The sequence below is a fragment of the Homo sapiens genome, chromosome 1 (genome assembly GCF_000001405.40).
Source record: "Homo sapiens chromosome 1, GRCh38.p14 Primary Assembly".
Classification (NCBI taxonomy): Eukaryota; Metazoa; Chordata; class Mammalia; order Primates; family Hominidae; genus Homo; species Homo sapiens.
In genome coordinates, this window is record NC_000001.11 from 61,212,981 (window position 1) to 61,239,554 (window position 26,574).

The 26,574-nt window shown below is 36.7% G+C and overlaps 1 protein-coding gene across 4 annotated transcripts in view, besides 1 other annotated feature; it reads left to right on the forward strand.

Moving 5' to 3' along the window:
• Positions 1-26,574, forward strand: part of NFIA (nuclear factor I A) — a 385,562-nt gene that overhangs the window by 135,754 nt on the left and 223,234 nt on the right. The gene's annotated exons all lie outside the window — the stretch shown is intronic.
• Positions 20,897-21,191: a silencer, noted in NCBI's record as "tiled region #4387; K562 Repressive DNase matched - State 5:Enh". NCBI's record gives its function as "represses a minimal TATA promoter and a strong SV40 promoter by Sharpr-MPRA in K562 cells {active_cell/tissue: K562}" and the evidence as "EXISTENCE:reporter gene assay evidence [ECO:0000049][PMID:27701403]".

Genomic DNA, 26,574 nt, shown 5'->3' on the forward strand with positions numbered 1-26,574 from the left:
AGGCTCACCATTGCTCCTCTTGACTGTTCCACTGCCCATCCCAGTATTTTCCCTGACTTTTCCTATGTTCTGTGGTATCAGGCAGTTGGATCAATTGCAGTGACTGCATCGAAAGAAAAAGACAAAAATCGGGAAAGTATAACCCCGAGGGCAACAATAATGAAATTTTAAATTTAAAGTGACCCAAGTTTGATGTACAGGATATGAAAATGCTGTGGTTCCTCCAGTGGTTTCATATACTTTGATTCAGACCCTTAGAAGTTCCTGGTGGGCAGTTGACAATTGAGTATCAGTCTTGATGCTCCAGATTTGAATACCATTTCAGTTGGAGGCATGGTGCGCCTGATATAGATGACGTGTGAATGTTTCAATGTCAACAGGAGATGCGGGTTGTGAAGATATGTGTTCACATGAAACAGACTGCAAGTCTAAGTCTCCAAGGATGAGCTGATATATGTAACCCTGTTCATGATGGGCCTGTGTTTTTTTCATTTTCTGTTTTCCTCTCTGGCAGATGATAGATCATTTAAATCTGTACTGGCACATGGACGTGGTTTCCCACCCCAACTGAACTTGAGTTAGAAGAACCTCAGCTCTGTAGTGATCTTATTTTACTGTTTTCCCAGGATAAAATGCCCTTGGTACCACATACTGTATGCAGAGTATTTATGATTGCTTGAGTACAGTTCCTTGGAAAGGACACAAGGGGTTTCATAAAGCGGTACTAAAAATCTGCTTTTCTCCCTAGCATTTACCAACAACCTTGCGATCCGATGGCTTGAAATAATGGTCAGAGTGCATGTTACCCAACTTCTCCTGGCTGCTCCTACTCTGTCACACTGCACACAGATCATGCCCGCCACCACCCTACACTCCCCGACCTCACCCACCAGTCAGACAGTTTAAGTCCTGCTGACGCACCAGGCGTGTGTTGGCTCGTGGTTGTACTTTTCATGAGTAGCAGGGAAGATACACTCCAGGAAGGTGGGATACAAATTATTGAACTGTGTGACTTAAAAGCTCCAGTGAGTTTCGTCGGAAGTATAGGAGTTTGAAAGTGCTCCCCAGTCAAACCCAGAACTACATAGGGTCAGCCGTGGTTGAGCTAATTTCTGCTTACACATGTGTGGAGGGTGTCATTTTCTGACTACGCCTAGGCCTGAGTGGACAGCCGATTAAAAGATGTAAATTCGTGGATTGTATCAAGGAGAGCGGGTTCCATCTTTGTGGTCAGGAGGGGGCCCACTCTTTTGTTCCGCAAAGGGTTTATCTGGATGTTCCTTGCTGGAAGTTGCTTTTCCAGTTTGGATCAAACCACTTAAGTGGAGCTCCAGCCTCAGTCCTTGCAATAAAAAAAAAAAAGTCCTGGAAAGCCAGAATTTTGCTAATATCTTACATAGAATCTCAATGATGGGAATTGGGAGTAGAAGGCAGAGAGTGGTGCTTGGCTGATGGAAGTTAAAAGTTGGGTTAATAATAAACTACATTTATATATCAGTTAACAGCTTGCTAAGTGCCCACATATTATTTGAGCTTCATACTTGCTTGCTGAGAAAGAATGGCTATTATTATCATTATCATCATTACCACTTTCCATTTTATAGATAACAAAACTGAGGCTCTGAGAATTTAAAGAGATTTTCCCCAAATCATTAAACGGTGACTTCTGAATCTGGATATATGACAAGACCTCTGTCCCCAGTCCCCTTGCTTTCACCTCTATAATATATAGTAGCTAAGCTCAGCTTTCTGAGAACTTCCCTGTCTTATGTCATATTTGACATTATAGGAGAATTGAAGATGTTTTGTAAGTACATACTTTGTTTACTACCTCAGTAGCCAGTATAACAAATGGCACTGAAGTTTTATGCTTTGCTTGCTAAAACCAGCACCATTTGTGAAACAGGTCTTGGCTCCGAGTTACCCTTAAATGTAACTCCTTTATTATAAAATCATTTGCAAAGAGCTGCAGAGATCAAGGAATACACTCTTCCCACTTCCCTAATGCCAGGTAGTACTATGACAGGACTTCATAGTACCACTTCTTCAACAAAATAAGTGTCTGCAGTGAAATATTTGTTAAAATGCACATTTCTCAGTGAATATATTTCTTTTAAAACTGAAAAAAATAGTACCTAACGGAAATTTTATCATTGCTTTAAAATGTATTTTAATGAAGATATTAAAAAATACCTTTGATGGATTCTTCAATATTGTCGAACTGCTCAAAATGATTATACTGTTATATGAAGTCTAAAATCTTTCATGCAACTTACAAGAATATTTTTGTTGTATGCAACACAGTTGGAAAATTCTAGTGGGACCATGTCCATGCAATTACTGATTATGTAATGCTGTAAATTTTTGATAAGCATGTTCCAAGTTTTCCTGTTCTAAAAACAAAAACATTAAAATCACCCACTGTTGAAGACAAAAGATCATTACTTTATTAGGAGATATTATTAGATATGTTTAGAACTAGTTAAAAAAAAAAAGTAAAAGACTGGTTAAAAAATTAAATTAACTCCACCAATAAAAATTCAGTTCCTTCTGTAGCTGATTAATGTAAGGTTCTTTCCACTGATGACCACTGAATAGAAAAAACTAAAGTAAATTTCATCATCATTGTAGAAGTGTAACTTATTCAAGTAAATGAGATAAGCCAATTTTATATCTATCAAGCTATAATTAAATAAGGATGATACTATTTGACTTATAAATGACCTCTGTTTTATATTTCCTGTGGAAATCAGCTAACTACAAAGGAATTGTTTATTAACTTACTTCACTAACATGATGAACAGAAGTATTTCAGGACTCATTTGCCCCTTTTTTATGTGACTCAGCGTCAGATTCTGCCCTTTGCTCTTCTGAGGTCAGTCTGACCCAGTCAGGTAAAATGAACAGCACATGAAAGTTTAGCGCATGCGGTCAGCATTCACGTACCTTGCTTTGGTTAAATAAATTCTTGAAATGCTTGATGGCTTATTTGCCATGAACTTGATAATTCCCCAAATTGCTGATGTTACCAGGTGCAAGGACAAATATTGATGGCTATGAACCTTGCATGGTGCTGATGCACTGTGATAGTCATATCTTGTTGTAAACCATGTTGTAGTGACATAGTTCCAGTTCATTTACCCATTCCCTGTATCAGAGAGTTTGGGCCATTGTTGAACATCGCTGAGTTCAGTTCATGGTGCTGGGTAGTTCACATTTCTGGAAGGGCTGTAAGGTTTGCATAATCGTCCAGTGCTATCATCATATCATCTTTGCCTGGAAGATGCATCTGCATAGCTTCAGTAGTTTTTAATGTCTTGGGATGCCCAACCCAGTACTGTGGGTTTCAATTTTTATCTGTCATCGCCACAAACCCCTAAATTAAAAAAAAAACATGAAGAATATTCAGGTGACTATAAACATTTCAAAGAAGGCCTCTACTTCTTGCTCTGGGTAAAAGGTAGATGCAGTCTCATGGTGGAACATGAGAGTTATCTCAGTTGGCTCTTGAAATGAGAATGTTTCACTGTTTCAGCTGAACTGAATAGTCACTTTAGTTTTTAAAAACCTGCTCAATTCAACAAAACATGATTGATTGCTCAGGTAAATTAATTGCCTCTGAGACACATGTTTGAAATAGATATCTATACTCTCTCTGATACTAGTGTGTAGCAATAACTTTTACTGTCCTATTTTGTTTAACTGTCTGTGTATGTATGCTCTAAAAAGGGGATTGAGGCTGGAAGCAGTGGCTTACGCCTGTAATCCCAGCACTTTGGGAGGCCGAGGCAGGCAGATCACTTAAAGTCAGGAGTTCGAGACCAGTCTGACCAAAATGGTGGAACCCCGTCTATACTAAAACTACAAAAATTGGCTGGGCGTGGTGGTGGGTGCCTGTAATCCCAGCTACCCGGGAGGCTGAGGCAGGAGAATCGCTTGAACCTGGGAGGCAAAGGTTACAGTGAACCAAGATCACGCCATTGCACTCCAGCCTGGGTGACAGAATGAGACTTCATCTCTAAATTAATTAATTAATTAATTAATAAAAAGGACATTGATTAAACTTTTTTTTTTCTTTTTTCTTTTTTTTTTTTGAGATGGAGTTTCACTCTGTCACCCAGGCTAGAGTGCAGTGGCGCAGTCTTGGCTCACTGCAACCTCCGCCTCCTGGGTTCAAGCGATTCTTCTGCCTCAGCCTTCTGAGTAGCTGGGACTGCCGGCACATGCCACCACACCTTGCTAATTTTTTTTTTTTTGTTTTGTATTTTTAGTAGAGACGGGGTTTCACCACATTGGTCAGGCTGGTCTTGAACTCCTGATCTCGTGATCCACCCACCTTGGCCTCCCAAAGTGCTGGGATTACAGGTGTGAGCCACCCTGCCTGGCCGATTAAACTTTTCAATAGCTATATCTACTGTATGGACTCTATTAATGTACATAATTATGCCCAGAAGAGAACTATATGTCATTATTAAATTTATGGTTAGAATAGTTGATCTATACTTTTTTCTCCTTAGCATTCCTTTAGCTGTGCTTCCAGAGCTGCTCAGAAACATGAGTTTTGCTTAATAATCCATAGCAGAGCTGAAGTCAAGAGGGGAAGGACCCACAGGACTTCAGCTGGATCTGGTTGGGAAAAGCTCAAGATTGGGAAATGGAACTTTGGTAGGCACATGTCAGTATGAAACATTTGCCTCACAGCCCCATACATGATTAACCTTTACTTTGCAGGGGAAAGGCTCACAGTCTTACTGCAGAATGAGAATAAACCTCATTTCAGTGGTTTATAAACTCTTAAATGTAACAGAATATAGGCCTAAAATTAGACATTGTATTCAGTCTGAGCTCTGCCACTTAAGAATTCTGGGACTTTGGGCAGGCTGCTTATTATCCACTAACCTCAATTTCTTCAGCTCCTAAAAGGGCAGTTGTCATACCTATATTATGGCACTGTTTTGAAGAAGAAATGAGGTAATGCCTAAAAGTGTTTAACATAGTCACTGGCACAGAGAAGATACTTAATAAATGTTGATTTCCTTCTTGTTCAGCAAAACCTTAAGGCAGAAAGCTCCTAAGGCATGATTATATATTTCATTCTTTCAGTAGCATTTGCCAAACATTTTTACCATATTGTTGCTAAGTAGGTAAAACAGAAAGACACATATCTAAATATGCAGAGACATATTTTGTAATGGAGGTACCACTCTGTTTTTGTAAGGCGTTGCTGATTCTCACTTCGCTTCTGCATCTCTGAATATGTTACAATTGTAAGAGATGTTTGAAGCTTTGGGGATCTTCTAATGGAAATGGGGGTTCTTCACCGAATGTTCATGTACCGACTTCAAGAGGTCAAAGAATCACGAATTGATATACAAAGTGGTGTATGTTGGAGTATAGTCGTCGCTTGGTATCTGCAGGGGATTCGTTCCCAGACATTCCCACAGATGATAAAATCCACGGATGCTCAAGTTCCTCACAGTCAGTCCTTCATGCCAGTGGGTTCTGTATCCATGGATTCAATCAACCACGAATTGAAAATACCGTCATCACGTAAAACTTGTAACATACATTCTAGGAAAAAGAAGAAAATAAAATCACCTTGGGAAAATAATCCTTAAAATTTTACTATGTAGGGATTTATTCTTCCAAACATATATATGTATTTTTGAAATCCTTTAAAAAATAATGCTGTATCACAAGCACCTTTCCCTATTATGTATTCTTCTACAGAATCATTTCAGTGGGCGTATAGTATTTCATGTTATTGATGGATCATTTGTGAAACCAATTCTGTGATGGTCACTGAGTTTGTTTGCAAGTTTTTATTATTATAATTAATGTGGCAATTAAGATCTATATTGCTCAAACATGACTGTGTACTTATAGATCATCTTTGTAAAAAAGCAGCATTAACTTGTGTTTTTAAAACATTTTTAAACAAAACTAAGTGATAAGAAATTGATCAACTCAGCCAGGCGTGGTGGCTCACGCCTATAATCCCAACACTTTGGGAGGCCGAGGCGGGCATATCACCTGAGGTCAGGAGTTCAAGACCAGTCTGGCCAATATGGAGAAACCCCGTCTCTACTAAAAATACAAAAAGTAGCTGGGTGTAGTGGCGGGCACCTATAATCCCAGTTACTCGAGAGGCTGAGGCAGGAGAATCACTTGAACCCACAGGGCAGAGGTTGCAGTAAGCTGAGATCAGGTCACTGATCTCCAGCCTAGGTGAAAAAGCGAAACTCAGTCTCAAAAAAAAAAAAACCTCTACCCTTTATTATTGCTTGCATACTTTGTAAAAGAATTTTTTCCAACCACTAGCCTCAATTATTTCTAAACTATTTTTAAACATTTATTAGATATATGGATTTGGCATATATAAGGAGTCTAGTTAGGCTTAAAACTATCTAAGGAACTACCAACTATCTAACATTTAAATAATAGAACAAAGAAGCCGGGTGCGGTGGCTCACACCTGTAATCCCAACACTTTAGGAGGCTGAGGCAGGCGGATCACGAGGTCAGGATATCGAGACCCTCCTGGCTAACACGGTGAAACTCCGTCTCTACTAAAAATACAAAAAATTAGCCGGGCGTGGTGGCGGGCGCCTGTAATCTCAGCTATTTGGGAGGCTGAGGCAGGAGAATGGCGTGAACGCGGGAGGCGGAGCTTGCAGTGAGCCGAGATCGCGCCATTGCCCTCCATCCTGGGTGACAGAGCGAGACTCCGTCTCAAAAAAAAAAAAAGAAAAAAGGCGGGCGGATCACGAGGTCAAAAGATCAAGACCATCCTGGCTAACATGGTGAAACCCTGTCTCTACTAAGCATAGAAAAATTAGTGGGGCGCAGTGGCCCACGCCTTAGTCCCAGCTACTCAGGAGGCTGAGGCAGGAGAATCACTTGGACCCGGGAGGCAGAGGTTGCAGTGAGCTGAAATCGCGCCACTGCACTCCAGCCTGGAGACAGAACGAGACTCCGTCTCAAAATAAATAAATAAATAAATAAATAAATAACGCATAATAGCTTCTATTTGGGGGTGGCAGGTAAACTATGGCATGTCAGGTCCCATCGGCATTTTCCGCCAATGATAGGGAGGCATGTTTTATGCCCCTGTCTTTCTGTTGATGAGAAAGGAGCAAGTGAAGAACTCCTTGGGTCTTAAGGAACAAGGACTAGAAACCCCACAATATTAGTGTTTCTGTTTTTTGTAATGATCTGTCACCTCCTGTTTGTTTTCAAAACCCATGAGATTTTAACTCTGCATGTGTGTGTACATGTGTGTTTCTTCCCTGTTCATATTGCCTCCCTATCCATCAGAGAATATCTTAAATGCCACTGGGATACTTGATGCCATCCCCTCCATTTGTGGGTTTGTGGGCTAGTCCAGCAACAGGCTTTGGAGAAGTTACTCGCTACTTTATTATAACATACTTAAACTCAATAGCAATTCAGGCCTTACTGGGTATTTACCTAATTTATTGTGGCAATGCGGTATTTAGACCACTGATTAAGTGAAGTTTGTCAGTATAGTTAAAAGAAATTAGAGACACTATCATTGCTAAATCACTTTACAATTCAAAGAAGAATTGTAAACATATGAATCCATTTAATTATAATAGTGCCAATTATAAGAGAAATTGTAACGCTGGGAACAGTGGCTTTTATGTAATCATAATAATGGCATGTATTTATCTTGGTTTGGCAAGTTAGGCCTTTCTTTAATACTTGGCTTTGCCTAAATAGAATGTGGTTTGCTGAAACCCACAATAACCCCCACACCCTCCAATTTGTTATTGCAGAAAATACTGAACAATAATCATGCGGTATGAATGATTAATGTATGCATGGGTTAGTAAGTATATTTGAGGTTTAAAAAGTGTTTTTATTTACATTCTTCTGTTGGCTGAAGGTATAAAACAAATAAATATAAATCCACATGTTAAATATTCTCATCCCTTTCCATACAGATACTTGCAGTGTGAATACAATCATAGCTTTAATTCATTGTTTCTGTGCTTTTTTGGTTTACTCAACACGTGTCTTTTAAATATATTTCAACTGTAGTATTTGATAGTAATCCATTTTTTAATTTACTAAGTACTTTGAATATAGCTTCCCCAAAACATAGAAATAATCAATTTAATAATATCTGAAGATTGGCAAACTTCATTTATAATGTTGTGTTCAAATAATACTATCAGAATAACAGTTGTTTGAAGAGTGTATGTATAAAAATTACATTCTCTATTTAATAAGATTACTATTATTATTGAGGAAGAGGTGCTATCTAGTGGTATAAACAAAATTATTATGGAATTGAAACATTTCTACACTTTGGTGTCAGGGTTTTCATTTATTTCTGTTTCCTGCTTCCAGAAAGATAATTTGCAGCAGTTTCACACTGTGTATTAGTAGATGTGGAAGGAAATCCTACTTTGCTGAGAAAAGAAGGAAGGAATTTAAGTTTAAAAGGGATCTGACAAAAACTTATTTAAAAATTTTTATTTTAAGAATAAATAGACCTTCCATAGACACTTAGCATTTATTGTAAAAGCTGTATTTTATAGAGAACAGTAGAAATCCAAATCGTTGATAGTTTTGCAAGACATAGCCAAAAAGTGAAGATAAATGGTGGATTTTAAAAATTGGCATCCTGAAAGAGTTAATATTTTTATTAGTTGAAATTTGATATAAAATTGTGGGCAACCCATGACATGGTTTGGAGTACTTGATTATTCTTTTCTCAATAAATAAGAGTGGCGTACAGTTAATTTCAGCACTGTAATTGAGCAATGCATTCTGGGAAGTTAAAAAGCACTGTAAGATGAGGAAATGTTTTAGGGACTAATCATGAGAAGAAAGGAGCCTTTCATAGCCCGTATGATGCTGTTGTCAGAGCTAAAGGCAGATAATGATTCGGTAATAATGGCACATTGTGAATATTTAAGCTGAAAAGATTTGGGCAAAATGAACAGACATTGTTGGTTTGTTAAAACTGAGCGTTTGGTCTTTGGGCTTCAAAAGCACTCTGAACTCTGTACAACATTTTTGTTCACAAATTTTCTCTAAAACAAGATACTTTTAAAATAAGTTATGTTAAACACTATCACTATATGAAGTTTTAAAGTGATCTACGTGTTTTAAGTTTTACTGTAGAAATGGATAGTGTGGGCTCTTTGTTATGGAGAAGTTTAAAAAGTTTTACGGTTTTCTTACACATATTTTAAATTTAGTTGGCAGAAGCAACACCTTTAAAGAATATTCTCATAGCAATGATGTAAAATATTAAATCTAAGTCCAAGAGTATCCAGTTGCAAAGAAAGTCAAGTAATTTGCATTATGTTTCTAAGGTTTCCGTTATACCGTTTAGAGTCTTGCAGTTGGGTTTCTATGTACCTTGCCTTTTCTCCTCATTAGCATATTTTCAACCTGTTTGTTTTCATTCTTGAATCATCTGTTACATGCAGATGTATTCAGCTCTAGTTTCCCATTTTGGGGTGAATGTTACCAGGAGTTTAAAGGTTGAGTCCTTATAGTCTTTCTTTAACTTAGGAAAAGAAGAGAATTGAGCCCTGAGAGCTGAGAGGTATAGTTTCAAACTTACTAACTTTAATGATGGGTATTTAGAGTCAGTACCACATCTGGTAAAAAGCTAGATTCTGTTTTGCTAAAGTATAGGTAAAACACTGTTATGCTGAAATAATGCTTTATAGAACTTTAAAAATGTGATTCAATTAGAATACTCCTTTAGAGTAGGTTTTAAGACAGAATTCAACCTTCATATATGTAAGATATGTATATCTCCAGTGAGCTCTCATTTATTATATATATGCTACAGTGACATAAATAATTCCAAGTCTGGTATTTCCTTTATAAATATACTTTTCATGTGCAGTTTTATACAAAGACTGAAATGAAACAGATTTCTGAGGCTATACAAATGTTTTTTCTTGAGGAAGAAATGATTACTTATTAAAATGGCTTCACAATTTAAACCAAAATAACTTTTTTTTGTTTCTGCTCTGAAATTTTTTTGAAGGGAAAAAATGTTGCCGAATGTTTACACTAACATTCATTTTTACCCATATGCTTTAAATCTGTGTATTTGTTTAACCAAATATTGTTTATTTTTAGAACTGTTTAATCTTTCTTTTTAACTGGAATTTTTTAACAGCAGTTCTTTGAAAATTAAATTGAATAAAATTTCACTATTTAAAGAACATTTTCTTTAGGAGTTTTAACCAAGAAGTAAATCATTTATTACCATTAGGTGAGACTACTCTTTGGCCAGGAAATAGAGACCAGAAGCAAAAATAAAATAGAGCAAATGTTTACCAGGAAAATGTGTTGTAATCCAAGCATATTCTTGTGTCATTTTTTTAAAAAAAGTAGCTTTAATGAAAGGTGTCACATGCAGCTATGAGTAGAAGAACCTTTCCCTGTACTTTGCAAGGAGACAAAATATGGATTTTGATGGACCTGTACAAACTTACAGTTTTTCAGGTTTCATAAAGGGAATTGAGAATATAAAATGAGACTACTTGGAAACTCCACAAATTTTAACTTATTTTTAGAATATAAGATAAACATTTCAAATTATATTTTAAAAATTTTATGATCACTTGTTGACTTTCTCTGAGATTCCACGATTCCAGAATTGTTTTTTTGTAAATATTTTGTCTGAATGTGGAATTCTCATTTGATAATAAACAGTAATTTTATTTAGAATGATAGCTATCCTCCACCTCTTCTCTGTATTTCTATTTATTAAAATTTACATTTTCTAATTGGACAACTCTGTGACCAAAATCTAGATCATTAGGGTGCTAAATTCTATTAACAAATACTTTGAGGTTTTCTGAGGATATCAACTAAAACTTCATCTCAGAAACCTTCTAGAAAAATTAAATTTTGTTTTAAATAATTAAAACCCATATTCAGAAACCAGCCTGTTTGAAAACTGACCTCTCTATTTACATATTACCAGAGGGTTCTTGCCTAATATGAAGAAAAAAGCTTGTGTTAGAGTTGGGTTTTATTTGGAGGTGGGGAGGACTTTTAATGCTGATAAGATAGAATTTTACTTATTGAGATACATACAGTAAGGTCAGTTAGACACTGTGTTTAAAATAGGGAAATTATTACTTAGTTTTTAATATTAGTTTAATATTTAAAAATTAGTTTTAAAAATATATTTAAAATTAGTTTATTGTCTTGAACTTAACTTTTCAATTTAATTTTAAACAAGTTTACTTAAGTCTAACTTTTAAAAGCTCAAGTTAATATTAGCCAAAATATACTTCTTAATGCTTATCTCTTATGCTCCATAGAAAAAAGTGTGCTTTTTTGGTGAATTAAGATTTAAATATGTATGCATACTGTTGTCTCTCTTGGAGAGAGTCATGACGCACATTAATATATTAGAGGGTCTGAGAACTTTGTTTAAACTAGCAGTAGCCAAATTTATTTGTCAGTGGAATCCTTTTTTCATGCAACCCCCATTAACCTCCCAAAACACACTTTGAGAAATTATGCCCTTAGCCTTTTCTCTGCTTTTGAGTGAAGAAACTTATTCTGATTCAGTCCTGTTGGTGTAAAAATCATCTTCCTGCTGACCCTTCTGTTTATCTGAAGCCCTTAAAAATTAATAACGCTCTAGTCTCCATTTGGTACCAAGTGCCTGGTGGTGGGGGACTCTGTCTCAGAAGCAGTGATACTTGATTCAGTTGTCTCACCTCCTCTACTCATCTATCCAGTCCATTGCAATTTACTCTAAGTACTTCAAACTGTGTCCTTGGAAGACAGAGTTGCCTGGAGCTATTCCAAGTTGGCAAAGGGATGTTCTAATAAAGCTCTTAAGTGGTACTACTTGCTGATCAAGAGCAGAGGATAAGGGTGTTGAAAATGTGATGCTGCAAAGGTCATTTCATGAGGCACTAAAGTCCATTTTTAAAAGGTCTCCACTCCTTTCACCCCATAATTTTGAGTATTGGAAAGATTTACTAATGAAGCTCTTTGCTGTGTTATCCCTGCCAAGAAACAGACTTTAAAAATATATTATTTTCCAGATTCATGACATAGGAATCTATTGAACCCTTCCACCTTAAGTTTGCTCCATTCCTCAAAATGTGTTTCTATCACTTATATATTTTGTTTTTTGTTTTTTTAAAAAACAAAAAAAAAAGTCTGTGAGAAGGAAATTGATTTGAAGGTTTTAGCCTAAAACACAGTAAATACTCAATGTAAAGCCATTACATGAGTTTTTATGTCCATAGTACTTTTTTTTTTTTGAGACTGAGTCTCGCTTTGTTGCCAGGCTGGAGTGCAGTGGCCCAATCTCAGCTCACTGCAACCTCTGCCTCCCGGGTTCAAGTGATTCTCCTGCCTCAGCCTCCTGAGTAGCTGGGACTACAGGTGCATGCCACCATGCCCAGCTAATTTTTGTATTTTTAGTAGAGACGGGGTTTCACCATGTTGGCCAGGATGGTCTTGATCTCTTGACTTTGTGATCCGCCTGCCTCGGCCTCCCAAAGTGCTGGCATTACAGCTGTGAGCCATCGCGCCCAGCTCGTACTTTTTTTTTTTTTTTTTTTGCATGTGAAAGAGATGGAGCAACTATAGCAGGAAATTTTATTTTGTATCACCAAAAGGAAGTTTGCTTGTTCGTATCTACGATTGACATCTTCAGTACTTGCTGAATAAGCACAAATGATTCCTTTTCTATCGCAATATATATGTTTGCATCTACCTAAGAGATTTTAGATTTGTGAGTGTATGGAGCCCTCATTAGTATGAGAGATTAATTTATTTCAGTGTTTGAGCTGTTACTGAGCTTAAAATCTTAAAAAACACACACAATACAACACCAGCTCTGTAATCTTTTTACCGAGTAGACTATAATAATTCCAGAAGATTTAACATAGTTTATTAGATGAATGGCTTGCAACTTTAAGGGACCATAAACTTATATTTAAAAATTATCATAAGTAAAACAGGATTCTGACAGTAATGCATGTAATCTAATTCACTAATGTATCAGTTGTGAATACTTTTTAGATATCCAGTAAACTAAAATGAAACAGTGGACATACAACAAACATGTGTAACAGAAGAAAACCCAACTTTAGAAGAAAGTAGTATTTGTGTAATATTTAATGTGGTACGATAGTAGTAGCATTACAAGATTAGTGATCAGCTGGGGTTATTAAACCAAAGTTTGCCTCATGCTGTCGACGTTAAGCAGCCACTTGGTAAAGCCTGGGAAGTAACATGTGCCTCAACAGTTAGCACTTAAAGACTGTGTTTTAACGAGTCTCCAGATATGTATTTACATGATAGACCATACTAACACCTTTTAGTGTTATCTGTCAATCAAGATTTCATAATATTCCTTTACAAAATGTATCTGCTGTCCACATCCATTATCCTACTCTACTTACTTTGTATTTTTATGTATTTATTAGGAATTCATAGTCACCTGACCTCTTGGCAGCCATCCCTAAACTTCACATTAACCCTGCTTCTCAGGGATTGCAGGGGTCATTTTAACCCCCATGAACCTGAAAGGTCCAAATAATTCAGTCCAAAGATGGTTGAAAAGGGATCTGCAAAGTCTCCTCCCACAAAGAAATGCTTTATTTCATGCATTTGGCAACCAACCCCTCCCATCTTTTTATTTTTATTTTTATTTTTGGTAAAGGGATTTTACATCAGACAGATATTATTAAAAAATTTTATTTAACACTCAGACACATTTTATTCTAAAACGAATGCTTGCTCAAGAGTCTAAGAAGGCTTCATGGGAAGAGCAAAGCAATCTAAGCCATATGTATTGGGCAGGTTGCCAGTTGTTTGCCAATATGCCCAAGCCACCTGGCTGTGCATTCAGCCAAGTATGCCATTCCGACCAGCCAGCTTTAACCTCCCGGCTGCTTTTCAGCACTTAGGAAACTCCAAAGGCCTGGGAGCTGCACTTCATTTCTCCCATGCCAATAGTTTTCACTTATACAAACTGCACAGCTACACTGACCGGTAACTCTCAAACGCCCATTTTGAATGAGCTCTCCTTTTGTTTAAAGCACCATTCACTGGTGTTGAACCAGTGCCATAAGATGAGTCTGGAGATAGCAGACTGAAACCTTTACCCATATGCCATAGACAGACACTTTGACTGACAAGCAGCATTTTTTTCCCAAGCCTGTAGCGACAGGGTTTTGTGATTCTGGTTTGCTGAGATTTGGATTGGCTTTATTTGCCGCTGGTTTCAATTTTATTTTGGGTGGTTCTAACTTTTAAATGTTTGGAAACGTTTGTTCATTTGATTTTCCCTTTTTGTTTAGTTTAGAAATTGGTTGAGCTGTTTCATAATTTATCAAGCTTGATTTCATAATCTTTGGCAATCTAGGTCAGGAATCATGCAGAACAGGCACGATTTGATGATGGGATCTTGAAGACTGATTCGTTCTTTTTAAAAGTCACGATAGAGAAAGCTTTACTCCTGAAAGGCGGTATTCTTTCTTTCATCAGGGCGTAAAAATTATATAATGCCTTGTTTCCCTTTTTGCCTTGGCTCCCAAGAAACTCAGAGATAAGTTTAATTCTTAACCTTGGTGAATATTTCAGCCTAAGTTTTTGCCCCCACTACTTCTCTAACCCCTGCAGTTTTTGTTCATGTTTTTCTTCTTTTATGGACTTAAATGTGTATGTGTGCTAATTTACTATATGTTTATGAACCATCTCAAATTATTTTTGGAAGGTAGATGAAGTAACCAGTAAGTAAATAAAACTTCAGATTAGAAACTTTAGTCTATTCCTAATTAAAATCTTTAAGTGGCCTTGTCTGGTATCATAAGCAGGTGTTTCAGATTCATTATCTCAGGTTTTAAATGAGGAAAGCTGTGAATATTTAAGCCTAGAAGTTTCATTATTATAAATTTTTGTGCTAGCCTTTGGACTGACCAATTTATTATTTTCTATCACTATTGTGGTCTGTACATTCTCAAGTTGATGCCATTTCCCTCTTCCCGGCTCAATGACCACTATCTCTCAGATCTTGAAGATCTGTTTTGGCTTGGTTCCAATTTAATCAGTCTGAATGGATCCTATTGAGTAACTTGACTCATTCACCCTGCTAAAGAGAGTCTGAATACACTATTTCTGAAGGTTTTTTTAAACCTATTATAATGTTCTTTTTTATTAGAATTGTCAGTCATTTCAGGAAAAACATGTGATCTGTATGTAAGTGTGTTTTGAGAGTCCATTTTTCATCCCATTAATAAGACCCATTCGAATTGTAGCATTTTGGCCAAAGTCCTGTGACACACTCAACAAAGCCGTGAGCAAGGTGGAGTTGCACCAGCTCACAAGATGGATAGACAGAGCTGGGGGAAGTGTCCCAGCGGGTTTTTGCAGTCTGTCAGAGGAGCTGCAGCTGTAACCACCCATCTGTGCATCCTTGGCTTGGACTGGGCTTCAGTATTGAACACTTACCCTGAAGAAAGATGTTCAAAGAAATGGATGGTGTGGCTCAAATAATAATGGCCAAAATGTGACAGGGTTAATGTTGGAAGAGAAAAACTATTATGTTCCAGAAACTATGAGATTTAGCTTTTTGGCATTTCTAAAATTTTAAAATTTCTGCAGTATTCAATTCATTCATTCATTTTGTTTTTTTCTGGACCTGGTAGAAATACTGGGCTTTCTGTATTTTTTAAAAAAAATGTGTACATGAAGGTTTTCGGTGTAATGTTAAATCCAAAAGAATCCTGAAGATCATATTAGTAGTATTTTCCCTGATTTATGTTTATATCTTATGATTTAAGCTTTCTTCGTTAGGCAGCCACATTGTATGTCTTTGCTCTCTAATGTTTATTATCTCCTCATTTATTCTGAGATATAAATTTTTCTTTTGAAAACATTTGAGTGCAACAATAAGCTCAATAATCCTGAACAAAGAAAAGACTATTAATTATTTGTGCCTTTAAAGGTTAATTATTTCAACCTTAAAAGAATCTTATAAGAACCCATTAATAAAAAAGAATGCAAATATATTGCCCAAAAAAATACACAAATTATTGTCTTTCATATAGGGGAGGAAATAAATATGTTTCATCTGAATTGTCTGAAGTAAGTCATGAATGGAGTCAGGGTAAAAGAAAAAAAAAAAGCAACGTAATTTTTTCCTTTATTGGAACCAAATTTCTTAATTCCTCTGTACAAATCAACTTGACCATTTTATTGAACTAAAAAGCATAAAATATAAGATCACGTTAAAGATATTCTTAGAAAGATAAATTACTATGTCATTTTTCTCAATATAACCCGCAAATTACTCAGTCATATATTCTGAAAATAAATATCTTTTGTATTTATGCTTGAAATTTTGTGATATATTTATAGTGCAGTGAATTTTTCATCCCATCTCTCAAATATTTTCTCATGTACATAGGCCTCCAAAACATCATTGTTGCTCTAGGTAAGATCTTAGGAAATGTTTTATTAAAATTTCTTGTATTTGATTTTGTTTGATAAGCTCAAACAAAAATGGAATGTGAAACTAGATGTCATCTCAAAGAGAAATCAATATTGGTTCATTTATTGAATGCCTACTATGCTAGGTGCTATAAGAATCCCATCCTTGCTCTGTGATCAAAGTCTGATTGAATCAGGAGCTGTGTGTCTTTCCTTCCTCCCCAACATGCATTTATTGCCTTTTCATTCAAATTTTAAATATTTTAAATGTTGACTTTTCTACAAAAATCTGGGATACAGGTGTGAAAACCTTACTAAAAATCATGTGGAACAAAAAGAATTTGATACAATTTAGCATTGATTCCAAATTTTTTAAAACCAGTAACAAAGGAGAATAGTATCCTTAACAGGATAAAATTATCTATGTCATGTCAACAGAAGGAATCATACTGAATTGTGAAATATTGGAATCATCTCCCCTAAGATCAGGAAGAAAACAAAGATGGCTGCTATCACCATTATTATTTAATGTTCTTCTAGAAGTTTTGGACAATGTCATATTATATGACTTAGAAATAAGAATTATAACTATCTGAAAGGAAGAAATGAAATTATCACTATTTGGAAATGATAGAATTATCTACCTAGACAAAAGGTTTAATTAAAAAACATTTGGAATTAATAAGAAAATTTAGCAGAAGATCTAGTTAAAAGATAAACATCCCAAAGCCAAAAATTGTGTTATATAATCATCTCCAATAAGAAGCTGTGACAGAAAAAAGATCTCATTCAGGAGAGCAATAAAAAACAGAATATCTAGAAATAACCTTAAAATAATTTGACAGTAATTTGATGGAAAGACCTACTGTGAAGTGGGTGTTCTGAATTATGAGAGTTATATGAATAGGAAGGAATGGCATCTAATGGTATCACCCCTTAAATATTTCTGTCAAATCATAACCTAGAAGTTATCTCTTACTCTTCTTTCATGTTTCATATCTAATCATCCACTAAGTTCCCCGAGTCCACCTTTTCATTAGCATGCAAATTAATTCCTATCCTACCCTATGTTTCCTTCAATTTTAGACCTTTATTATTTCTAACCTAGACTTTGTAACCTCTTTACTCCCAGTCTTTCCCAATCATCTATCCCTTCATTACACTACTGCCAGAGTGATCTTTCTGAAATAACAACTATTGCTCCTTTGTTAACATACCTTCATTGACTCCCTCTCACCAGCTGTATAAAGTCCACTCTCCTCACCCGCATCCCGTTTTTCACACTTGGGCACACCCTGCTCCAGCTCTGTGTTCTAGCTGGGTTGCCATGCTTACAGTTTACCAAGGTGCTGTGCTTTACCAGTGCCTCAGTACTGCAGTGTCAGTGCAGGGCCATTGCGTCTTCTGGTTTCTCTACAGGACACTCTCCATCTAAATGGCTTCACAGTGTGGAAAACTCCAGCTCTTCTTTACATTCAGTTTAGGCATTGGATCACTTGGAAAACCATTCCACACACTTTCTTGCAGTTAGGGACTTACCTTCCCTGTTTCCTGAGAAGCTTTGTATACTTCTGCCACAGTACTTATCACATTATACTGTAGCTACTAGTGACCCCCACTAGAGTGTAAAGCTCGTTGCATCTCTAGCATGTAGCTCAGTGGCTGGCTCTTTGTTATTTGTTGAAATGTATATTTTTAACAAATTTGATACTCATGAAGTTCTGTGTTTCTGAGATAATTTTATAGTTACACAGCTGTTTTCTGGGACAGTTACTTTAAAATTTCCTGGTTTTTTCTTTTGCATATTGGAACTAAGCAATGACTGGATATAAAGTATCACTATACACATATTTGATGTCACCACTAAAGTTTGACCAATGTTTAATGGTTTTTCAGGAATAAAAATAAAGTCCTATGAATTAGGATATAAATTGTGTTTATGTTGCCACTGCTTACCATTTCTTTGTTAGATGTTATGCCTAGATTAATGTCATTAGCTTATATGCTGAAAATGTAATCACATAATGTTTTTAAAATAGTAAATGACACAATTATTATATATATGTAAAATTCAGATCCATTCAAAAAATATCCATGTTCTTTTATATGCTTAGGACTCAACTTGGTGCTATTGTATTTAGCTATTGTAAAATAGCTCAGCCTTTAAGAAGTTTGTATATAAGGTAAGACCTGCTTATATAACAGCCAATTTAAGATTAAAAATAGCAGTCTAAGCTGAGTATAGTGGCACATGCCTATAGTCCCAGCTACTCAGGAGGCTAAGGCAGGAGGATTGCTTGAGCTAAGAGTTTAAGGCTACAGTGAGCTGTGATTGTAACTGAGAATAGCCACTGTACTCCAGCCTGGGTAACACAGAGAGACCATGCCTCAGTGTAAAAAACAAACAAACAAACAACAACAACAAAAAAAAACAAAACAAGAAATAATACAACAGTATTGCATTCTGAGAGGGCCTATATCATCTATTTTATAGATAAGGAAACTGACTTTCAAAGAAATTCTGTGACTACTATCATTACCCAGCTGTTAGTGACGGGTTTGAGGCTGGAACCTTAGTTTTCAGTTTCTTGATTGAGGGCTCAAAACAGAACTCAATATGCAAAAAAGAAATGTAATGCATTGGGAAAGTATAAAGCAAGTCCACAAAGATTAAACAGAACAGAACAGTGATTCTGGATTTTTCTAATAGTTTTTCCCTTAATTTACTTCTACGTTTGTAGAAGTAAATATTGAGTAGGTTATATCTGAATAATAAAGCATGGCATTGGGTAGCCCTTCAGTTTTATAGGCATTCCACAACCACTAATTATGAATAATCCAAGTTTACAAATATTCCTCTGAGTGATTGGGCTAGACTCATTTTAACTAAAAGGGAAAATTAAGCCATATATATTATATATGTACATATTTATGTAAAGCATAGTATAGCAATATTACATAAAAGTTTTATTGCCATGAGTTTGAGATGACATGTTATAAGTGGTAAAGCCACAAGTGAATTATGCAGGTCATCTCAACTAAATGCCAAAAATGTTTTTACTGTACCACATCATCCAGTATTCTGCCTATGCTACAAATTTAAAGAGAACCAATTTTAGAAATTTCCAGAGTTGTAAAAGTTTTTATTGGCACTATATTTCAAACTTGCTGGCCTGTAAATATTAGTTCCATTAATTGTGGCAAAAATTAATGCACAGAGATTTTTTTAAAAAACACTTGTGACAGGAGTTTTTTTTAAAAAACATCTTCCTTTCCAGTTTAGTTTAGTTTTTCCTGCTCTAAGTATAAACACTTTCTACTTTCTTCCCTTTTTATGTAAGTTTTTTTCTTTTTTGAAACCCATCTCAAGCTCCATCTCCAAGAAACTCTCTGTGGGTACTTACGTCACCCCAAGTTTATTTTTCTGAACTCTTGCTTTTTCACTCATTGCTCATAAATTCATTTGGCAAGAATTTTTCGTTGGGTTTTAACCACTCTTTTAGTTCTGGTTTGTTCTATTTTTTTCTCAGAATTGTAATTGAGTGTATATTGTCTTTGCTAAATAAATTCTAAGCTCCTAGAGTGTGTATTTAGTGCCTTTATATTGTCTCTGGACTCTGGAGCACTGCTTTTTAAAAAAATGTTCTTTCTTTTTTCCCCCTCCCTCCTTGCCTTTCACAGACATTGATTCAGTACCTACTATATTCTTGTCTAAGCTATGCATTGGATTTTGTAGATGAAAGGCAGCCTAGAAAAAATCTTATACAGAAATTATTCTCAAACTATTGTGTGCACAAAAATCACTTGGAAAGAATTGTTAAGCAAGTATTTTCCCAAGCCTTAAATGCAGAGATTCTGAACTAGAGGCCAAAGATCATGCTACTGAATACCAGGTGATTCAGATGCAGGGAGCCCACAGACCATACTGAGAAACTCAGTTCATAGGTGACGGGAGAAAGTTCCGTAAGTTGACCGTCACGATGCTAAGCTATTTAAAAAGGCCTGTGGTAGCAACATGCTGCAGGTATTTGAGGAGCCCAGTGAAGGGGAACCTACTGAAACTGGGGAAGTCAGAAGAGTCTCGTCATAGTTGGTGCTTACTACTTGTGCTGTGAATAGAAGAATGAATATTTGAATTTATAATTGGAGGAGGTGGTTGAAATCCTGGGGCCTTATGACCTTGAACAAATTCCTTAATTTCTCTGAGCCCGAGTTCCTTTATCTGTAAAATTGGGATGATAGTAACCACCTCAAAGAGGATTTGTGAGATGAAATTAATAGACATAAGTAAAAAACCTAGCACAGTGCCGACGCAGAGGTGCTCAATCAATAATTACACTTTCCCTTCTGTGCCAGCAGCCTCCTGGAGATAGCTGTGGTCTCTCCTTGGGAGGGTGTTTGGCCATGGGTCAGTGTATCCACAAAGCTACAAAATTGGTTTCCATTACATTAGTTTCAATAGTTGCTTGGCATAATTTATGATTTTCTACTGAGAATCTATAGGTAGATCTACAGAGAGCTGTGAAGAGATCCTTGACCTCTTAACTGTTTCTTGTTTTAAATCATCTGGTCAGAAGGGGAAGTGAGAGAATGGCTCTCCTTTCCACACAAAGACCTAATGTAGAAAGTGGCTCCTGGCTGGGCGCGGTGGCTCACACTTGTAATCCCAGCACTTTGGGAGGCCGAGGCGGGCGGATCACCTGAGGTCGGGAGTTTGCGACCAGCCTGACCCACATGGAGAAACCCCATCTCTACTAAAAATACAAAATTAGCCTGGAGTGTTGGCACATGCCTGTAATCCCAGCTACTCAGGAGGCTGAGGCAGGAGAATCGCTTGAACCCGGGAGGCGGAGGTTGCGGTGAACCGAGATCGTGCCATTGCGCCCCAGCCTGGGCAACAAGAGTGAAACGCCATCTCAAAAAAAAAAAAAAAAAAAAAAGTGGCTCCTGAGACCACAGACCCAGCTTTGTGGTTTTGAATGCTTGATGCTGATAATCCTTGCGTTATGCGGGTATACGTCTGCCTCCTCTGTTCCGATTGCCAACTCTTCTGTGAGCTCTGAAAGTTTGTTCTCTTGTTTCTACCCACCTACCATATTACTTTGCCCTTACTAATCCCTTCATAAATACTAGCATATAAAAGAAAGTAGTCCCTCAGAGAGGCCCCTAATGGTTAGCTCTAGTCCCAGCAAGAGATGCAGTATTTAACTACTTTAGGCAAAAAAAAGGTTGTGCTTTTCGTGTTACCATAAAACTGTCAATATTCCCTCCTTTCTAGCTGTGCTGCTTTAATGGTCTGAGAGCGGATGACTTACAAGTTACTCAAGAAGACTGAGTATGTATTTTGACTGCCTGCACTTCCTGAATAGGCTTTTTAAATTAAAAATACAGTTTATGTTGTTTTACTTTTTTTGTTGTTGTTTTTAAGTGGCTACATCTGCATTGTTTCCTAAAAACACAATAGCTGCGATTGGCCATACCAGTTGGCATCTGTCTGTGGTTCCCCTGGCTTCTTATTTTAGTTCCTCCCTCTTCCTGGTAGGTCCTGTCTTGATCCTAGTCAAGCCTTTATACCCCTTTTAAGACTTTTTTCTTAAGAAAGAAGCTATTCCCACAAAAATAAGTTGCCACTTGCAGTGAAAGGCATAATGGACAGGAGGACCAGTGTTTGTTGAGTGAATAAAGGAATGAAACTACTACATCACAGGCAATTTTTAAAAATGAACAAAGGGGCTGGGCGCGGTGGCTCATGCCTATGATCCCAGCACTTTGGGAGGCCGAGGCGTGTGGATCATGAGGTCAGGAGATCGAGACCATCCTGTCTAACACGGTGAAACCCCGTCTCTACTAAAAATACAAAAAAATTAGCCAGGTGTGGTGGGTGGTGCCTGTAGTCCCAGCTACTCGGGAGGCTGAGGCAGGAGAATGGCGTGAACCCGGGAGGCGGAGGTTGCAGTGAGCCGAGATGGCGCCACTGCACTCCAGCCTGGGCAACAGAGCGAGACTCCATCTCAAAATAAATAAATAAATAAATAAATAAATAAATAAATAAATAAAAATAAAAAATAAAAAAAAATGAACAAAGGTTGGGTTTGGTGGCCCATGCCTGTAATCCCAACACTTTGGAAGGCTGAAGTGGGAGAATCACTTGAGCCCAGGAGTTTGAGACCAGCCTGGGCAACATAGTGAGACCCCATCTCTTTAAAAAAAAAAAAAAGCTGGGTGTGGTGATGCACACCTGTGGTCCTAGCTACTTGGGAGGCTGAGGTGGGAGGATCGCTTGAACCTGGGAAGTTGAAGCTGCAGTGAGCTGTGATAGTGCCACTGCACTCCATCCTGGGTGACAGAGTAAGATCCTGTCTCAAAAAAAAAAAAAAGAAAAAGAAAAAGAAAGAGACAAAAGGTTTTTCAGCTTCATTTGTAAGAAAAAAGACTGAGTTGGCTCCCCCACTCAACTGAAGATTGTCTTGCTATTATAGAGACACATAGTTGTTTTAGGTTAGTGCCTGACAATGTGGATGACAGATCAGTGGGGAATGATATGTTATTTACATGGTTCTGAACTTCACTTCCCTCCTCTTATCCCTACTTTGGGGCTGATCTTATGTTCTACTGCTGATTCAGAACACGTTAAAAACAGCCTGAAATGGGCAATTCATCTGCATCCAATTCAAGGTATACTTATTGTTTTGGAGAAAAGTCCATCTTAAAAAAAAAAAAAAGGTGGAAAGAGAGGGCAGAGAGAAGCCAATTTCTCTAGGTCAGTATCAACATGGGAACAGCCATCCTATTTAGAGCTGACAAACCCAGTAGCCATCTGAGAGAGTTCTTTAGCTAAATAGGTGTGAAGCAGGGGCTGTATCTTGAGGGTACTTGTAGTTAGGGTCCCCAAACATATGGCACAAGCTATCTTTGAACAAAATAACAGACGGCAGTGTTTGCTCTGTGCTTTTAAGGCAGGTGTTTTATATAATTTTTACGTTATTTATTTGATATGATTTCTCACCAATGTACTTCATCACATCTAAACCCCAAATCATGACCCTTACCTACAAAAATACTACACAGAGAAAGAGAAAATGCCGAAGTTGTAGGGCTAACAAACACCTTCCAAGCCACACTTTGGCCTAATAGTATTACTTGGATATGTTTTTAACAGGTACTAAACAGGATTTTTTTTTTTTCAAGAAAGGACTTCTTTCTTGTTTGTGATCATTTTGTTATTTTTGCAACTTCTTTCTTTTCCTTATTGTCTAAAATGGCTCAGTGTATTCATCAGTGGTATTAACGTGTGAAGGACATAACCAAGGACTTAGTCCATAGGCAGATATGGTCCATTTCTCTAATCATTTCCTGCCCAAAGAGCTATGGCAATCACTCTTTTGCTTGTCACCAGTGAGAATATCTTAAGAAAATTAAATTTTCTAAGAAGAAAACAGAACAACCTCTTTGAAGCCATAGCCAATGACTCTTTCATACTTTTATTCCAGAGGCTGAGGTGTTTCATAATTGTTGAATGAATTAATTAATACATATCTAGAACCCTTCTTCTCAAGTCCAGTCTAATATAAGCTCCTGAAGGGTGGGGACTTTTTGTCTCTTGTTCACTGCTCTATTCCTAGCACCTTGATCACTGCATGGCACATAGGAGATGTGCCTCACCTCTCCACCACCATGTTGAATGAATAAATGATCAAAGCATTTCTTAACCCTAAAATAGTTGGTGATATAGTTATCTCTCATTTGCATTATTGAGAACATCAAACTTACATAGCCATGTCGCAAGTCAAAGCACTCTCCCAACTCAGAAAAATATGCACTTATTATTATTTTAATTTTGTATTTCCATAGGTTATTGGGGAATAGGTGGTGTTTGGTTACATGAGTAAGTTCTTTAGTGGTGATTTGTAATTCTGTTAAACAGAAGGTAATATGAGAAGCTCATCTTTGTTGGATGACATTAGCAACAGAAGAATTAGTTTGACAATTGACTGATAAATCTCTGGCAGAGAAAATATTGTGCTTATGTATATTAAAACTGAAATTCAGAAAACAAATAGTGTTTTCATCATTGGCAGAATAGGTAAAAGCAAGTAAACAAACAAATAAAACCCATTGTGGGTGTTCTTTAATCAACAGAATCAACAGGAGATAAGCCCTTTTGTTTCTTCATTAGTTATTCCATGCAAGTTTTTTTCCTCTCCCATCATTGTTTTCAAATATGGATTTCAAGATGCACTATTTTGTGAGTTTACTACATTCTTGTTTTCATTCTTGTGCCTGCTGTAGGACCTTGATTTACCCTTACCACTTTGCTGTGCCTCAGCTTTCCCAGATATAAAATTGGCATCACAGTACTCATCTACCTAGTAAGGGAGTGGGGAATATGAGACTTAATTAGGGAACAGCTGTAAAACCTCTTGAGATAGTTCTGTGAGTCAGAATGGAAGTGCATCATTATTAATCATTATTATTATTGTTAGTATTTTCAAATGGCTCAAAGCCGTCTCTAAATTTAATAGTAAAATGAGTGCATCTAATAATTCTTTGTATGTACATGCTCTGTGGTCATGCATTTCACAAATTAAATGGCAGAATACTTGTAGGATATGATTATAATGATCCAAGTAAATGATCCTCAACCAATTCAAGATTATGTGATTAAGACCCCAAGGAGCTAAAGCAAGCAGTTTGCTTTGTTACCTTTTAGCTTCTCGAATAACCCATTTTGTGTTAATTTATGTGAAAGGGAAGAAGTTAGCTCTTTAAAAATTAACTTAGAGTTTTCTGTGTCATTAGTTTGGAATTTGGGAGTAAGTGGGTTACTCCTTAATTTCCAAATAAATCTATCTGTAACACCTTGTCCATAATCTACATTTAAATGGTTTCGAATATGATTGGCCTAGCTTCCTAGCAGTTGTTGAGTCGAGCATAATTTATGAACTTTCAGAGTCATATGCGGTATCTTCAGACATCATCGGAAAAGAAAATTATATGTTTTAGTTTTGCAGTTGTTCCCTTGTCTCCTGTACCCTTCTGTCAAGAAACTGCATTTGTCTCTGAGGTTATGTTGCAAGTCAATGGAGAATTGCCTTCCACCGTACACTGCTTGGTTTCAGCTTGAATTATCTCAGACAGACATCCTGGCTAGCTGCAATGCAAGCTCACAGGGCTCAAGCCTGAGAAGACCTAAGTTTGGCAGCGCACTAAGTTGAGGATGAGAAAAGAAAAAAGAAATTCTGTCTTTTCTGGTGCTTTTCCCTCTTGGTTTCTCCACTAAAAATCAATAGCGTGGTCGATAGTTGGTTTTGAGTTGTCCCCTACATGCTGGAGTTTTTCTGATGTAAACCTTTGGTGTCTGGGCTTCAGACATTATAATGTGTCAGGGAAAGTTTGATAGCTGTCACAGCTCTCCTGGGTTACATTTTATTCCCACGATAGCCTTTGTAATTTGAGAAGGGAAGAATAGATCAATTTTTATACCATTTAGTTGTTGGGGGAATTTCTTTTCCATAAATTGATTTTTCTTTGAAAAATTTACAATATTTATTTTCCTTCTTCACAGCAAAAGCAAATAAAATGAAATATTTTCATTAATGAATATTTTAAAATAAAAGCAATCCCAATCTTGCTGTAAGTTGTTAAGACTCAGTTATATCCTGTTCAGGATTTCTCACGTTCCTTTTGCATAACTTGGAATGACACTTTTAATTTTAAATGTATCCATTTGGGAAAACCTGGTGTCTTTTCTTAGTAGTACTCTAGAATGGCAATATCACGAAGAATAAAGTGGCACAACAACAGCTCTAATGCTTGCGTGGTTTTAATGCAGATTTTGGTTTCTTTGAAACTAAATGATTACTTTTATGGATACCAAATAATTATGGATAATGAATAATTATTATAAGTGATGTCTGTTAAAAAGTGTTTATTTTTATTTTGAGTCTTTTCTATGAAATCTCGTTATCGGGACTATCAGATAACATTAAATCATTAATTTTCTCTTCTGAAAATATTTTTAGTTGCTTATCTATCTTTCATTCTAATATGTATTCTTCTTCAACATAATAACTCTTATTAGAATTATCCTTGAAAAACTTTGGGG